This window comes from Homo sapiens, chromosome 12 (genome assembly GCF_000001405.40).
Source record: "Homo sapiens chromosome 12, GRCh38.p14 Primary Assembly".
NCBI lineage: Eukaryota > Metazoa > Chordata > Mammalia > Primates > Hominidae > Homo > Homo sapiens.
The window spans coordinates 78,835,914-78,854,918 of NC_000012.12; the positions used below are offsets into that span (position 1 = coordinate 78,835,914).

A 19,005-nucleotide genomic window follows, 5' to 3' on the forward strand; every position below is an offset into this window, starting at 1 on the left:
TTCTAGAAATTTTATACCATATCAAATTTTATACCATTTTTTAATATGTTTAGTAGAACATGTATTTTTATATCTTTTAATTTTTTTCAAAATAAGCAAATAGAGAATGGCCTATAGGGAGAAAAAGAGAAAAGACATGACAAAGAAAAAGTAGAAAATGACAAACGTTACAAATAAATTGAAATAATTACTAATTATAATTATAGATGGACTTAGTTATTTAGTTAAAAAATAAAGTGGTTCTCAGAGGAACATGTATAGCCTCAAATGTTTATGTTTTAAAAAAAGTAATGACCATAAATTAAGAGGCCAAATCTTTATTATTTTCTCCTTCCTTCTCCCTCCCTTTCAGATGGCATCTTTGGCCACGGATGCATGTCTTTCATGGTTCCTCTCTGAGGTCTCAGCTCTCGCTGGACGGCCTTCACAGCAAGAGGAACCAGGGAGCTTGGCTCCTCATAGGTGGTAGTTGTTTCCTGATGCTGTGGAGCTCTAGATTCTCTCAGCTTCCCTGTATGGCCCTTCAAGTTTTTCAACCTTTGCAGCCACTTGGCTCTTTGAAATGTCTGCTGTTGAACTACTTGGAACACACTCTAGTTTTGCTGACTGTATCCTTAGAGATAGAAGAAGGATTTCCCACAATTCCCTCCCCACTCAGCGCCACAAAATAGTCCACAAATGATTGTAAAATTCACCACATTAAAATATATATATCCTTTTTTATCAAAAACAGTGAAAATGAAAGACAAAAATGACAAGATACATGCAACACATATAAATGATTAGTACCCAAAATATGTATAAACATCTATAATAAGCCAAATTAATAACTATATAAGAAAATGCCATAGATAAGGGAATTCTAATAGAACATTTGAATGGCCCATAAACATATCATAAGCTTAAGTCTATTAGTGAACATGAAAATGCAAATTAAAATAGCATCATTTTATACTCACTAGATAGAAAAAAAACTTTAATCTCCCAATATTAACTGTTGACAAGGATGAAAAGCAACCTGAAAATTATACAGTTCTGGAGGCAGTACAAACTGATTTAACCAATTTCAAAAACAATTTAACATTCTATAGTAAACTTAAGATTGCATGTAACCTCAGACTAATGTTATCTGATTTTTAGAAGTACATACTCAAAAAATCCTCCATGCTTGCAACAAAAAATATGTGTAAAATTGTTCCCAACAACAACACAGACGTAGCACAAAAAAGCAAATGTACTTCATTTGAGAATCACACAATAAATCACGATATATTCACATAATGGAGTAATATACAGCAGAAAATAAATGACTTGCAGCAACACTCAACAGTATGAACTGATCTCAGCAACTCAAAATTGAGTAATAAATCATAAAATGATAGAGCAGAAATTTAATTATATAAAGTTGTACAAAATGTTTAAATGTACAATTAAATAATGTATTGTTTAATGATACGAAGATGTGGTAAACTATAAAGAAAACTATAAATATGTAGGGGACTATTAGGCAGCAACTTCTGGGCAGTGGTAATCTCTGACGGGGGATGCAGTGGCTTGGGTCAAGGAGGGGCATACAGAAAGCTTTAAAGGTAAAAGTATTTGTTTTGGTCAACTAAATAGTGTGTAAAAATTGGATGATATTTTCATTGTATATTATTATAATTTACATATGCTTGTAAATATTTATCTGTATCTATGCAACAGGTCCCAAAAGACAAGTTTTTAAAATGACATAAAACTGCCCACTTGAGCTAATAATTAAATCCTACAGTACTTCATACCTTAATATGAGTTATTAAACATAATTATTTGGTAATTCACTATTATTGGACTTCATATACTTATACCAAACATCATCTCCTGTATAAATCGGGAAAGATATAGTATTTACAACCAGTGTCATTCTGGCTATTTATAGATATATGTTACATATCATGTTTGAGTATTTATAATTCAGAACATGTCTATAGTATCTTCTAAAATCTAAAATAAGTAGCTTTTCTTAAGTTAAAAAATGTATTCTATCAGCCAAAGATTTAAAATGTAGGCCCTCTATCTCTTATAACATTAAAAATATAGTTTTATGATAGTTGAACTTTACATACAGACAAACTTATCTTGATGTAATGAACTCACATTTTATTTAACTTCTTGCTCATTTTTAATCCCAAATAAGTTTAGGGAATTCCTATTGATACACCACATTTTCCTGAGTTACCTCTTTTAAAGAAATGCCAAACTTAAATATAAGAGTTATAGTAAAAGTTTCCAGAACTTAATCCTTGAAATTGATTCACTTGTTTTTATTGATGTGAGATGGACTAAAAACTTTATTGATATTCAGGGTTCCAAGTTTTATTTCCTTGCAGGATTGACTTTATGACCAGAGGAATAGGTGAATTAAGTATATTAACACATAAAGAAAAAAAGTCACCATTTTATGAGAAATTTTGTTTAAGATTTATCTGATCATGAAATAATTAAAATTTAGTAATTTGTTGAAATGCCTAAAGTTCTACATGTCTTAAAAACCTAAAATTAGGTTATCATGTTTCACTGAAATGTTTCCTCTATTGCAGTGCTTCCTGAAATGTTTTTTTCTCCTTTCTTAACTTACATTTAGTGCTCCTTTCCCCACACAGTATGCAACTTGGCCAGTATTTCTTCTTATTTTAAATAGAATAACATGGATATCAAGAGGTTCTTAATTTTCATATTTCAGATTGTGCTAATTGATACCAATCCCTTACATTTATATTTTTAATTATAAGTGAGCAATTTTCCAAGTTCAAGTAAAAGCACTTATTCTAAACCTTGGCTTTATTGTTCTATTTTTATAGTTCTTAAACAACTTACAAGTATCAATATCTTCCACTTTAGGTTATTAAGTGAAATCAAGTAATAAATGTACAAAGTATAATTGCTTGATGATGCTCAATATGTTGTAATATTATTATTGCTTCCAGGTGATGAAAATAGTGGAGGTTTGTTTATTTGGGAGTCTAAATAAAGAGTGAACAGTACCAGGTATCATAAACGTGCAGAATTTCATAGTGTATGGAATGAGGGCAAAATATATATCAATCATATTATTTACATCACTTTTAAACTCAGACACATATAGGAAAGACATTTATGTGAATGATATGTTCAATAAGGAAACGAAATGAATACTAATGTTTTTAACAACATAAGGTTATTTTCTAATATACGAAAAAACTTGTTAAAGGATATGCCTGAAGATCTCACAGTAGAAAATTTTTTCACAATCAATTTTAATTAGAAAACTTCCCACAATCCAATTGGAAGGAAAGCAAAAGAAGTGAACTCCTGCAGTGTCATATGTTTGAGAGCAATGAAATCCCTTCAGTCCAAGCATTAATAAGCATTTTCAGACTATAGAATAGTACACTGTTGGCATACTTTAAGAATGAACTTCTGGTTACACAGGAAGATTGGCATGTGTGTGTTTCTCCATCTTTCTTTGAATCATATCAAACATAAAATATACCTTATCTGTATAATCCTGTAAATCAAAAACTTGTAAATCCAGAGGGTTTGCAATTGTTTACGTTAAAAATAACTTTTAAATGTCTCAGAAGTAAATGATTTAAACTCTAATTTGGATATAAGAGCTGCTTAACTTTACAGATCTTCCACAGGTGCTGGACAATACAATTTTGAAAGCACATAAAAAAATTAAAGGAATCAAAGATGATTAAGGGGTGGAAAAGTAACACTGGTAAGAAGAAATTAAACGAAGAGGGTTATAATGTAAAAAAAAAAGAAAAGAAAAATAGAACTAGTAATTCCTTTTCACACATAGTTTGTCTAACTTTGTAGAGACTGAGGCAATATGCTGATACCTTGTTAGGAAGGGCTATCTGTATTGGTATGTCCTGAAAAAGTATCACACATTAACCATGGGGTCAGAGAAGACAAATTCAGTGTAAAATTGTTTCAGCAAATTTCCCATACAAGTGCTACACTGTAAACAGCTTTCTTTTTATTTTTTTATTTTTTTAATTTTTTTGGAGACGGAGTCTCGCTCTATCGCCCAAGCTGGAGTGCAGTGGCGCTATCTCGGCTCACTGCAAGCTCCGCCTCCCGGGTTCACGCCATTCTGCCTCAGCCTCCGGAGTAGCTGGGACTTTCTTAAAGAAAAAAGTTCAATACAGCACCTCATCAACAATGAAATGAAGTTCTATTTCAAGGGTCTCTTAACAACTCTCTTGATTCCTTCTAACTCATGGGATCATGACCATCAAAAGCGATATTCTTAACACAAAAACATACAATGTTATTCTCTTTTCCCACTATCTCCTTCTGAGCACATGGAATAATTTGTCTTTTTAAGTTTTTTATTATTATACAATACATATAAAATAAGAAATTTACCATCTTTCCATTTTAAGGTATACAATCCAGTGGCATTTAATGTCGTAATGATGTTGTCCAATCATCCCCATGATCTGGTTCCAGAAGATCTTTATCACCTCTAAAAGAAACTCATACCCACAAGCAGCCACTCTCCTTAATGGGTTGTCTCTTTCCCCCACAACCCTTGACAGTTATTAATATGCTTTGTGTCTCTATGGATTTAACTCTTCTGGGTATTTTATCCAAGTGGAATGATATAATATGTACCCTTTTGTGTCTGGCATTGTTTACTTAGCGTAATTGTTTCAAGGTTCATGTATTTTTTTTTTCTTTTTTTTTTGTGTGTGAGCAACATGGCTGTTTATTTCACCTGGGTGCAGGCCGGCTGAGTCTGAAAAGAGAGTCAGCGAAGGGAGATAAGGGTGGGGCCGTTTTATAGGATTTGGGAAGGTAAAGGAAAATTACAGTCAAAGGGGGTTTGTTCTCTGGCAGGCAGGAGTGGGGGGTTGCAAGGTGCTCAGTGGGGGTGATTTTTGAGCCAGGATGAGCTAGGAAAAGGACTTTCACAAGGTAATGTCATCACTTAAGGCAAGGACCAGCCATTTACACTTCTTTTGTGGTGGAATGTCATCAGTTAAGGTGGGGCAGGGCATATTCATTTCTTTTGTGATTCTTCAGTTATTTCAGGCCATCTGGGCGTATACGTACAAGTCACAGGGGATGCGATGGCTTGGTTTGGCTTGGGCTCAGAGGCCTGACATTCCTGCCTTCTTATATTAATAAGAAAAATAAAACAAAATAGTGTTGAAGTGTTGGGGCGGCGAAAATTTTTGGGGGTGGTATGGAGAGAGAATGGGCGATGTTTCTCAGCGCTGCTTCAAGCGGGATTAGGGGCGGCGTGGGAACCTAGAGTGGGAGAGATTAAGCTGAAGGGAGGTCTTGTGGTAAGGGGTGATATTGTGGGGATGTTAGAAGAAACATTTGTCGTATAGAATGATTGGTGATGGCCTGGATACGGTTTTGGATGAATTGAGAAACTAAGTGGAATAACAGAAGGAGAAAAACAGGTATAAAAGGTCTAAGAATTGGGATGACTCAGGATGTCTGATTAGGGAGTGCCTAAGGAGATTTAGCATAGTCCTGCCAGCAAAGATTATTTATTTACTTCAAGAGTTAAGAGTGGCAGTTTGGGGATAGCACCAGGAGATATCAGCTGTGATGGCTTGGAAAAACAGTGTAAACCGGCAGTGTAAACAAGAGCAGGGCATGTATGAGTAGTTGAGAACGGTGAATAGGAGTATGACTAGACAGAAGATAGTAGGGACGACAAGTTTTTTGGGGCACAGTGTAAGTTGGTCTGGTGTCTGGAATGAGACTGGGGCCTAATAAAAAGGAGTGTCCATACAGGAGCTCAAATGGGCTGTAACCTGTAGCATTCTGAGGACAGGGCTGAATTCTATGTATTTTATAAGCATGCACCGGGTACTTCATTATTTTTCATAAAAACCATATTCCATTGTTTGTTTATACCACATTTCGTCTGTTCGTCGATTGATGGACATTTGAGTTGTTTCCACATTTTGACTATCGGGAATAGTGCTGCTATGAATATAAAATATAAAATTTTTGGTTTGAACACTTGTGCTCTATTCTTTGGAGTATGTATCTACAAGTGGAAATGCTGGGTCATGTAGTACTTGCATGTTTTACTTCTATGTTTTAATTATTGAAGAACTGTTTTCCATAGCAGCTGCACCATTTGACATTCCCACCAGAGATATATATGAAAGTTAATATTTCTCCACATTCTTGTCAACACTTATTTTCATTTGTTAAATGATTATAGCCGCCCTAGTGTCTCTGAAATGGCGTATCATTTTGGTTTTAATTCTCCCTAATGACTAATGATATTGAGCATTTTTCATGTACTGGTTGGACATTTGTTTATGTTCTTTGAAAAAATGTCTACCGACATTTGCCAATGTATTAATTGGGTTGTTTTTATTTTAGTGGTGATTTGCAAATGTTCTTTATATATAGGAATACCTCAGTTTATTGCACTTTGCCGATATTGCTTTTTTTCTTTCTTTTTCTTTTTCTTTTTTTACAAATGGAAGGTTTGTGGCAACTCTAAGTCAAGCAAGTCTACCAGAACCATTTTTTTCCAACAACGTGTGCTCACTTTTTGTCTCTATGTCACATTTTGATAATTCACACAATATTTCAAATGCTTTCATTGTTATTATACCTCGTTATGGTCATCTGTGATCAGCAATATTTGATGTTACTATTGTAGTCGGGTTTTTTTTTTTTTTTGAGACAGAGTCTCAGTCTGTCACCCGGGCTGAAGTGCAGTGGCGCGATCTCGGCTCACTGCAACCTCTGCTGCCCAGGATTCAAGCAATTCTCCTGCCTCAGCCTCCTGAGTAGCTGGGATTTCAGGCGCCTGCCACCGCGCCTGGCTAATTTTTTTTGTATTTTTTTGTAGAGATGGGCTTTCGCCATCTTAACCAGGTTGTTCTTGAACTCCTGATCTTGTATTCCACCTGCCTTGGCCTCCCAAAGTGCTGCGATTACAGGTGTGAGCCACTGCGCCCGGCCTTGTAACTGTTTTGAGGTACCACAAACCTCAGCAAACTTCATTGATAAATATTGTGTGTGTTCTGACTGCCCCACCACCTGACTGTTCCCCTGTTTCCCTCTTCTTAAGCCCCCTTGTTCCCGAGACAGAGCAATATTATAATTACATGAAGTAATTAATAATCCTACACTGGCCTCTAAGTGTTGAAGTGAAAAGAAGAGTCATGCATCTTTCATTTTAAATCAAAAGCCAGAAATGACTTAACTTAGTATGAAAGGCATGTTGGAAGCCAAGCTAGGTCAAAAGCTAGGCCTCTTATGCTGTGAACGCAAAGGAAAGGTTCCTGAAGAAAATTAAATATGCTACTCCAGTAAACACATAAATTATAAGAAAGTGAAACTATTTTATTACTAATATGGAGAGAGTTTTAGTGGTCTGACTATAAGATCAAACCACCCACAACATTCCTTTAAGCCAAAGCCTAATACAGAGTAAGGTCCTAACTCTTAAATTCTATGAAAGCTGAGAGAGCTGTGGAGGCTAAAGAAAAAAAGTCTGAAGCTAGCAGGGGTTGGTTCATGAGGTTTAATAAAAGAAGTTGTCTCCATAACATTAAAGTACAAGGTGAAGCAACAAGTGTTGATGGAGAAGCCACAGCAAATTTTCCAGAAGACTTGGCTAACGTATTTGGTTGCCACACTAGAGGTGGCCACACTAAACAACACACCTCTCTTATAAAGGAAACAGCCTTATATTGGAAGAAGATGTAATCTAAGACTTTCATAACTAGAGAGAAGTCTATATCTGGTTTCAAAGTTTCAAAAGGCAGGCTGACTCTCTCGTTAGAGACTAACACAGCTGGTGACTTTTAGCTGAAGCCAATGAGCATTTACCATTCCAAAAATCATAGGGCCTTTTAGAATGATGCTTTATAAATGGAAAAATAAAGCCTAGATGACAGCACATCTGTTTACAGCATGGTTTATTGAATATTTTAAGCCAACTGTTGAGACCTACTGCTTGGAATAAAATAATCCTCTCAAAATATTATTGCTCATTGACAATGTACCTGGTCCCTCAAGAGCTCTAATGGAGATGTACAAGGAAATTAATATTGTTTTCATGCCAGCGAACATAACACCCATTCTGCAGCCCATGGATTAAGGAGTAATTTTGACTTTCAAGTCTTATTATTTAAAGCATACATCTTGTAAGGCTATTGCTGGGATATATTGCGGTTCTTCTGATGGAACTGAGCAAAGTAAATTAAAAACTTTCTGGAAAGGATTCACCATTCTAGATGCCATTAAGAGCAATAGTGATTCATGGGAGGTAGTCAAAATATCAAGATTAACAGGAATTTAGAAGAAATTGATTCCAACATTCATGGATGATTGAGGGGTTCAAGACTTCTGTGGAGGAAGCCACTGCAGATGTGGTGAAGATAGCAAGAGAACTAGCATTGGGAATGAAGTCTAATATTTGATTAAATTCCTGCAATCTCATGATAAAACTTTAACAGATGAGGAGTTGCTTCTTATGGGTAGCACAGAAAGTGGTTTCTTGAGGTGGAATGTGCTCTGCTTGAAGATGCTGTGATCATTATTGAAATAACAATCAAGGATTTAGAATGTTACATAAACAGAGTTGATAGGGCAGTGGCAAGTTTTGAAAGGATTAATTCTAATTTTGAAAGAAGTTCTATTGTGGGTAAAATGCTATTAAACACTATTGCATAGTACAGAGAAATTTTTCTTGAAAAGAAAAGTTAATCAATCTGGCAAGCTTCACTGTTGTCTTATTTTAAGAAATTACCAGTCACCCCAATCTTCAGCAACCACCACCCTGATTAGCCAGTAGCCAGCCATCAATGCCAAAGCAAGACCCACCACCAAAAGCAAAAAGATTACAACTTGCTGAAGGTTCAGATTATTGTTAGCGTATTTTAACAAAAAATTATCTTTACATTAAGGCATGTACTTTTTTAGACATAATGTTTTTGCATATTAATAGACCACTGAATAGTGTGAACATAACTTTTATATGCACTGGGAAACCAAAAATTCATGTGACTCTGTTTATTGAACTATTTGCTTTATTGCAGTGGTTGGAAACCAAATCCACAATATCTGTGAGATAGGTCTGTATTCTGGACACCAGAACCTGACCAAATTTATGATTTGCAATTATTTTCTACCAATATGTGGTTTATCTTTTAAGACTCTTGATTGTGTCCTTTGATAGATAAACATTTTTAATTTTGATGAAGTCTAATGTATCTATTTTCTTTTGTCGCTTGTGTTTTTGGTATCATATCTAAGAAACGATTATGAAATCCATGGTTATACAGATTTACCACAGTTTTCTTCTAAGAGTTTTATAGTTTTAGCTCTTATCTTTGGGTCTTTGATCCATTTTTAGTTACTTTTTACATATGATGTGAGATAAAAAAGTACAACGCATTGTTTTGCACATTGCAATCCAATTGTCCCAGCACCATTATTGAAAAGATTGCCCTTTCCCTTTTGCAAAGTCTCGTCATCCTTGTCAAAAATTAATTGGTCATAGATATTTGGTTTATTTCTGTACTTTTAAGTCTATTTCATATGTCCACCCTTATGCCAGTACCACATTGGCATTGATTACTGTAGTTTTGTAGTTACTTTTGAGATCAGGAAGTGTGAATTTTCCAGTGTTTTAAAAAATATTGTTTGACTCTTCAGTGTTCCTTGCAATCTTACATAAATTTTAGGATCAGCTTTCCATTTCTACATAAAAGACGATTGGCTTTTGATAGAGATTTCACTGCTTCAATAAATTGCTTTGAGAAGTGTTGCTATTTAAGTAACATTAAGTCTGCCGATTCATGAACGTGGAATGTCTTGCCATTTATTTAAGTATTTTTAAATTCCTCTCAACAATTTTAAGAAATTTTCAGTGTACAAGTGTTATACCTCATTTGTTACATTTATTCCTAAATATTTTATTCTTTTGATGCTATTATGAATAAAAGTGTTTTCTACATTTTGGAGGATTGTTCATTGATAGTATACAGAAATAAAACTGACATTTCGTTTTAATGTTGTATCCTGAAAATTTTTCTGAATTTATTTCTCTAACAGTTGCATCTTATGGATTCTTTAGAATTTTACATGTTTAAGATCATGTCATTTAACAATAGAGATAGTTTTACCTTTTCTTTTCCAATTTAGATGTCTCATATTTCCTTTTCTTGCCTAAATACTTGGACTATAACTTACAGTACAATATTGAATAAAAGTACAAAATGAAATTTTTCTCTTTTTCCTGATCTTAATGAGAAAAGTTTTATTCTTTCTGCATTGAGAATCATGTTAGATGTGAGTTTCTCATAAATGCCTTTTATCTTGTTGGGGTATTTCCTTTTTATTCCTAGTGTGTTGACTGTTACTATAAAATGGTGTTAGATTTTGTGAAACGCTTTTCCTTCACCAATTGAGATAATCATATAAGCTGACTTTTTGTTGTTGTTTTTCTTTTCTTTTTTAACCTTTGTTCATTAGTGTAGTATATTATACAGATTTGTCTATGTTGAGCCATTCTTACATTCCTGGTACAAATCCCACTTGTTGGTGGTCTATTTCTCACTTGGTCATGGTGTATAATCTTTTTAATATTTTGCTAGATTCACTTTGGTAGCATATTGTTCAGGATTTTTTTCATCTATAGAAGTAAGGGATATTGGTCTGTGTTCTTGTGGTAGTTTTGGCTTTTTATCAGCCTGGGCACATGGAATGAATTAGAAGGCATTCCCTCCTCTTTTAATTTCTGGAAGAGTTCAAGAAGAATTGAAGTTAATTTTTCCCCAAAATTTTGGTAGAATTAACCAGTAAAGTGATCTACTCTTGCACTTTTCCTTATTGGGAGGCTTTGTAGGGATATTTTACATTGTTTTAATTTGCAATTTCCAAAACATAAATGATTTGAGCACTTTTAAATGTACTAAACATATTCTTTTGTGACATGTCTGTTGAAATCTGTTCCTCATTTTTTAAATTGCTTAACTATATTTTTATTATTGGGTTTTAGGATTTGTTCATATCTCTTGGGTACCAATGTGGCTTGCCTATTTAATTTCTTAAGTATCTTTTGAAGAGATTTTTAATATTGGTAGACTGATTTGTCAATATTTTCCTTTAATAGTTATTATTTTATGTGTTCTGCACAGTTAAGAACTCTTTAAATGCTCTAGATTTCAGTATTTTATTAGAAATGTGCAGTATAAATGATTTATCTCAGTTTGTGATGTGCCTTTTCAATCTTTTAATAATGTTTTCTGATGATCTGAAGTTCTTAATTTAACAAAGTTCATTATGTCAATTTTCCATCAATACTTAGTTATTTCCATTTAAGAAATGTTTGCCTATCTGTACCATGCGAAGATATTTTTCTATATGTTACACCAGAAGATTTACTGTTTAACTTTCACGTTTAGGTCTATGTTCCAATTCCAATTATCCAATTAGATACATACATCCAATTGGTTTAGTATTATATATTAAACATAAATCCTTTTTCCCACTGAATTGTAGATGTGCATTTGTTATAAATCAGATGACTGTACACTTATGTGGGAGTATTTGTGGACTCCGCATTCAATTCCATTGGACTATTCACATATTCTTTTACCAGTAACACTGTTATGATTATTGAAGCTCTATAATAAATCCTTATACTCAGTAGTATAAGCTTTTCAATACAGGTAAATTTCTTCAAGAAGTTTTATGGCTACTATAAGACCTTTAGAGCTCCATATACATTTTTAATCAGCTTGTCAACTTACATTAAAATTGGTATTTAATTGTGCTGTAAATCAGCATAAGGGAAATTTATATTTATTCCTCTAATATAAAAATATGATATTTTTTCCATTTGCTTAATTTTTCCTCAGCAACGTTTATAATATTTAATATAGATGTCATAACCATATTTTGTTAGGCTTAATATTTAATGTTCTTTGATGTTATTTTAAATGGTATTTTAAATGTTATTTATAATTATCTGTTTCTAATATATAGAGAAGTTATTTATTTTTGCATATTGATCATTTATCCAAAAATTGGTTGTTTGTTTATTAAATTTAAGACCATTTATCCTTTTTAAAAATTTTTTGCATATAGAAAAATGTAATTTGCAAATAATGACATGTTGATTTATTCATTATTTACAAACACACAGACATACATACAAATTCCTATGTGAATTTAATTAGATGGGAATTCTATTTTCCAGAATTTCTTTCTATGTATGATGTAAATAGAGAGTTGGTTCAGTGTTACTTGTGTAATATATGAAAGATAGAAGTAAAGTTGCAGCTATTGGTCACAGAAGGTCCTCATACTCAGATGTGATATCTGACAGAAACTGACAAATGTGTAACATAAAGAAGAACTTGGCAATTTCTAGCTTTTCCTCATATCTCTCCATTCTATACCCAGTTTTTCTTCCTAATAATGCCCTCAGACCCATAACCAGACCCTTGGCTGCAGACCCACAGACACAGAACCACTTTCTATAAATCTCTCCATAAGTTTCATGTATTAGCTCCTTACTAAATATTAAGCTTACAATTATAAAGGACAGATAACTTAAACCTCTAACTATTTTTTAAAAAGCAAAGAAGCAACAAAATGTATTCTCAGGCATTCCGAAGAAAAAATTTTTAATATGCAGAAAGAATATAAAATAGGTTTATATTTTATGATGGGTTGCCTGGAAAACATAAGGGCGAAACTTGAGGAAGTATATAAAGAAATAGTTGTTTCAGATAAATTTGAAGGAAAAAAACGCTATAATTAAATCATAAATTATTTTATATTTAAAAATGAAATGTTCTTCAACTTCTACAGACATTAACAATATAGACTGTTTATTTTAATTTTAGCGCTATTAAGTGTGTAGTTTGCAAATACATAAATTGCTACAAAATATTTTAAAGTACCATATAATAGTTAAAATCTTACACATTAAATTTGTGATTAAAATGCACCTCATTGTATTAATGATATTTAATTTCCAGTTCAATTTTTTATGTTTTAAAACTGTTCAATTTATGTAAAAATATAAACACATAAATTGTTCAGCTAAGAAACCCATATGTAAGCAGAGAAATGTAGACATTTTGAAAATAATAAAACCATTGTAAGCAATACTCATTGAATAGATGATATGAAGTTCTTATGGTTTCATCACGAATGTTTACATTAGACATGCCAAGACATTTGGCATAATTTTGATAAAATGCTTAAGAAAGCTGTATCGTCTCTACTAAAAATACAAAATTATCTGGGCGTGGTGGTGTATGCCCGTAATCCCAACTACTCAGGAGGCTGAGGCATGAGAATTGCTTGAACCCGGGAGGCGGAGGTTGTGGTGAGCCTAGATTGTGCCATTGCACTCCAGCCTGGGCAACAAGAGCAAAACTCCATCTCAAGAAAAAAAAAAAAGAAAAAAGAAAAAAAGAAACCTGTATCTTGCAGATACATTTTATTAAAATAAAATCATAGAAATCTCAATTGTACGCACCTAAATTTTTAAGAAAGTAATTCTTTGACCAATAAATACCTAACCTATAGTCTTAGGAATAGGCAGCAAAACAAAGTTAATTTCCCAAATTTTAGACCAATTCAAACTCACTTGAACCACCATTTTTACTAGCTCTTTGCAACTTGTGCTCTGAATTTTCTTTCAATTCAGTCCATTTTCATTCTCATTGACCTTCTCCTAATTAACCTTTTTCTAATCAGTTCCAAAATCCTCTGGTCTGTTAGATATGCCCAGAATCAGCTTGCCCTCTCATCACCCCAAAACCAGAATGTTAAATTCTTACTATTTAAGCTAAAACCACCGCAGATTTTTCTTCCCTTGGGAACAGCTTTTCTGATCAATGAATTGAAATAGCTGCCTTTGCCTAGTTATACCTCATATTTTTTAAGGCTTTACTGGCATAGCCTGAAACTATTCCTGGCTACTGCATTCTGGATTTTGCCTGGCATCAACAGTTTACTCTGACACTATCAATGTAGATGATACAGAAGTAAACTAGGTAAAGCAATAGACATAGCATCAGTAGAAGCAAGTTACACTCCTATACCATTAATTGCTCTGTAATGTTTATTGTGACCTTTAAACAATCTGACTGTTAATTTCATCCTCTGTAAAGTGGGACCAATGGAAATGAGATCAGAAGGCTATGAGAATAAGATGATATGGGTACAAATATTCTGTAACATACAAAGTATTCCAATCATAAAATATGCAAATTTTGAAAGTATTTTTGTAATATTCTGACATATTGCACTGATGTTTTTCTCCTGTAGAAGTAGTATTACATATGATGGTTAAAATAGTTAATATGAATTATTATTATTAAGCTTTAGGTGTATAATGGATTGTATAGGCCTTTGTGAGTCCTGTAGAAGAGCATTATGACAATCCCTCTCTCTCTCTCTCTACCTCTACCCCTATATATGTGTGTGTGTCTGTATATATACATATATACATATTTAGTAAGCAACCATCTTACAAATAAACTTTTCATTATAATTTATTAATTTGTTTATTATAAGTAAAGGTAGCTTTTTTTTCTTTATATAAAATTATGCTCTAAGAAGCTTATGAAAACAGGGTAAATGGTGAGATACAAGTATTCTACCTTATTGTTAAAAATTGTGTGCTAGAACAATAGTACAAATGGCAAGAGCCCTTTTTTCTTATTGTGTTCCATGAATTTGATCACAAATAAACAACCTCTTCAAAGTGCTATCTTGAACCTGTACCTGATTGTCAGAGCTGAATATTTTTGGCCTATGCAAACACCATCATATCTCCTTTCCATAGGCAACCTAAACTTCACAACTCCCACACTGAACTGACATTCTTTTTAAAATGTAATTTTTCTGTATTTGGACCTTAGTTAACAACTAATTTAAAATTTTCAATTAAGTCAGAAATCTGCTATCCTCCTATATTTCTCCTTTATCACCTCTGCCCTCAGACCTGAAGAAGTCTTAATTTTATCTGTTAAATATCTCCCCAGTGTGTTCCATCTTATCCATTTACTATCACTGACTTCATTCGCGTTCACATACATGCTGAGGCTAAAGGCCAGCAAACTTTTCTTGTAAAAGACCAGAGAGTAAATATTTTAGGATTTTTAGGTCATATAACCTCTGTATCAATTACCTACTTCTGCTGTTACACCCTGAAAGCAGCCATAGACAACACATAAGCAAGTGGGTGCTGTTGGGTTTCACAAAAATTTTATTTACAAAAGACCACTGAAGCGGCAATTCATGTCTAATCCTGTAATCTCCCTCTCAAATCCATACTCCACATTTTATTTTCTGCATTGAAAAGAAAATCTGACTATATTTCTCTCTTTTAGTTGTTCTTTATTATTTGTAGATGCTCAAAGTTTGTCCTTCATAATGTAAGTCCTGGCTAAAATTTCAAATTTATTTTGAGAACCCCAGTATACTCATCTACAGTTCTAAAGTTACTAAAGTACTTGCAGTTCTTGGCTCCTTACTCATGGATTTGGTAAACATTTATTAAGTACATATTATCTGCCAGTGTGGACTATTTTCTTTTGTGTGAATCTCTCTCTAGACTGAACACCTGGGGTGTGTCGATCTGGTAGCCCAAATTTGCCTCCTCCAGTTTCACTTAAGAGCTTCATATTTTTATTTACTTATTAAATTTTATAATCTTCCCAAGGTTTCATTTTTAGCTCTTGATTTTCCATCACTATATATTTGATCTACTTTTATCACTTCAATGCTCACTCATAGTTGCCTGAATCTAAAATACATATTCCTGGTTTAAATTTCTGCTTTAGTTTCAATTATGTATTTACTATTGTCACATGCAAATCCTTTGAAGACATCTCCAACTGAACATACCCAAAACCTGAACCATTAGCTTCCTTTATTTCTTATCTTGATTAGCACAACTATTAAATCAATTACCCAAAGATTCTCGGTTCAATGTAATAAAGACTACATCTTAAGGTTGACAGGAATGTTTATCAAAATTTGAAACTCAACTTTTATTTATTTCAGCTCATTAATACATTAAGGTGAACAGCCTCTGTTCTATCCACCTACCAGAGGAAAAGATAAATTCTCTGTGGATGAATATATTTTAAGGCTCTATATTTTTAATGAAAAATGTGATGCATTCTAAAGAAAAATAATATTAAGGTATGCTGAGAGAAAAAAAAATGAATGACAACAATCCAAGGTTAAAAAAAAAAAGAAACACAAAGATACAAGTGATAAAAATATTGTAATTATGGTTAAGCATTTTTTAAAAAATAATCATGATTGACAGTCAAAAAAGGAGATTAAAAAGGAGAGCGTGAAAATATAGGAAAGGTGTAATAAAATAGAATTAGAGTCTATGAAAATGAATTAAATAAGGCTGGGCTTGGTGGATCACACCAGTAATCCTAGCACTTTGGGAGGCCAAGGTGGGCAGATCACAAGGTCAGGAGTTTGAGACCAGCCTGACCAACATGGTGAAACCCCGTCTCTACTAAAAATACAAAATTTAGCCAGGTGTGGTGGCACGTGCCTGTAGTCCCATCTACTCAGGAGGCTGAGGCAGGAGAATTGCTTGAACCTGAGAGGCAGAGGTTGCAGTGAGCCGAGATCATGCCATTGCACTCCAGCCTGGTGACAGAGTGAGACTCCATTAAAAAAAAAAAAAAATGAAATGGATGTTCTAGAACTGAAAAATACAATAATTAAATTAAGTATTATATGGATTAAACAACAGATTAAATAGAGTAGAAGACAGAAATTGTACATAACAATTAAATTAAACATAATTCCATAGAGAAAATAAAGACTGCATACAGAGAGAAAAAGAATAGAAAATACAGAAATACTACAATACAGAGGTAGAGCACAGTAAAAAAGGTCTAGCATACATATAATAGGAGTCCCAGAGCAAGAGAAAGTAAAAGAAATGAAACAATATATAAAGATATATAAAGTGACTATAAAATTTTCAAAACTGAGGAAAGATATTAAGTCATATATTAAAGAAGCTCTGTAAACCCAAAGCAGGACAAACCAAGGGAAACCACAAATTGAAATAAGTTAATAAAATTACTGTAAAACACAGACAATTTCAGAAGTGATCAGAGTGAAAAAGAAATATTATATTTTGAGAACAAAAAAATAGATAATTTGCTTCTCAACAGAAAACAATAAAATGAAATATTTAAATGCTGAAAGAAAATAACTGACCACAGAATTCTAAACCCAGTGAAAACATTCATTAAAATGAAAGCAAATATGAAAAACTTTCACTTCTAGCCATGACAAAATAACAAGTTCCCAACTTACATTCTGTTCATAAAAACACTAGAAAACTGGACAAAATATATGAAACAACTGCTTTCAAATATTGGACAAGAGATACATAACTGCATTCCCCAAAATAGGGAAAGAAAAGAGTGTCACAACCATCCTGAAATTCTGCCTGGAGGCACTTTCTGGACTGTGGTTTAGAAAGGAGAAACTGAAGCAGTGCAAACTCAGTTTGCCTCTGGGTTTGTCTGACTCAAAAGAGACCATTTTGGACAGTCTGAAGCAGCTGGAATTAACAGGGAAGGGTACTGGAAAAGGCACCAAATAGAGATGGAACAGAGATCCTGAAGTCAGCATAGAGATTACTTTGACTCTTTGGCTGAATACTAAGATCCACATGAGGGAAAAAGGGAACTTTCATGAGGGTGTGAATTCAACAGCTCACACAGGGCAGAGAAATAATCAGTTTCTGACCTACTCAAGCGGAGGAACTTTGCTGAACACCCAGAGCATTTAGTGGAGACCTCAGAGAGGTCATGCCTTAGGAAGAAAGCTACAGTAATCCTATAGTAATGGCTACTCTAGATGCACTCTAATGAAGCTAAAACATAAACCTTAAAATGAACAAGTTGATCTTAGATAAATAAATCTTCATGCCAATATAAAATTCAACACATTTCAAAAGAACACAACAATGCTCAGGTGCTCAACAATATAATATTCACAATGCCCTGTATTTTTCTTTCTATGATTAGGAGGAAAATCGTTAATAGAAAAATAACAGAAATAGCAGAGATGATAGAATTAGCAAAAAGGACTTCAAAAGAGCTATTATAAGTTCAAGCATTTAAAGGTAAACAAACACATAACAGAGAAAGAAATAGAAGATAGGAAACAGAACAACATTCTGAAGTTAAAGGCCCACTATCTAAAAGGAAAAATGATAGGCTAACTAAATATCAAATAAGATACTGAGAAGAAAAGAACAGTGTATAAAGTGACATAGCTATAAAATTATCAACACCCATACTGAAACAAAGAAAAAGAAAAAGTTAAATATATAAGTTTTGGTTAACTGTGAGAATATTAAGAAGTCTAACATATGTATAAGTGAAATCTTTATTAAAAACAAAATAGGTTTAAGGTGGGCAGAAGAAATATTTCAAAGATTAATGGCCCTAACTATAGACTGAAACTCTAAATCCATATATTAAAGAAACTGAATGAACCCAGCCAAACTAAAACAAACTTTTTGCAGGTATTTTTCCGTGAAAATTGTGAAACTAATTTTAAAAAGCATATTGAAATGCAGAGGACTAAGAATTGTCAAAGCAGTCTTGGAAAAAATCAACAAAGTATGAAAACATACTACCAAATTCAAGGCTTATGATGAAGCAGCAATGTTAAATAAGATAGTGCAATATTGTCATAAGGACAAAGTAAACCAATTGAACAAGATATAGATTCTATTAACAGAAGAAGACCTGTTGCATATTGATTGATGAGAATTGCTACTGCAGTGAAATGAGCAAAGGATCAGTTTAATAAATCCTGTTGGGTCAACTAGATACTCACATTGAAAAAAAAAATCTTGACCCCAACTTAAAGCCATACATAAAATGTAATTCCAGATGGAGTACATAAGTGAATGTTAAAAGCAACAAACAAAGCTTTTAGATGAAAATT

General features: G+C 33.2%; 2 annotated features.

The window, feature by feature from the left end:
- Nucleotides 4,099-4,912: an enhancer, noted in NCBI's record as "OCT4-NANOG-H3K27ac hESC enhancer chr12:79233792-79234605 (GRCh37/hg19 assembly coordinates)". NCBI's record gives its function as "activates a minimal SCP1, AML or CMV promoter by ChIP-STARR-seq in naive and primed H9 embryonic stem cells {active_cell/tissue: H9 hESC(naive and primed)}" and the evidence as "EXISTENCE:reporter gene assay evidence [ECO:0000049][PMID:30033119]".
- Nucleotides 4,913-5,725: an enhancer, noted in NCBI's record as "OCT4-NANOG-H3K27ac hESC enhancer chr12:79234606-79235418 (GRCh37/hg19 assembly coordinates)". NCBI's record gives its function as "activates a minimal SCP1, AML or CMV promoter by ChIP-STARR-seq in naive and primed H9 embryonic stem cells {active_cell/tissue: H9 hESC(naive and primed)}" and the evidence as "EXISTENCE:reporter gene assay evidence [ECO:0000049][PMID:30033119]".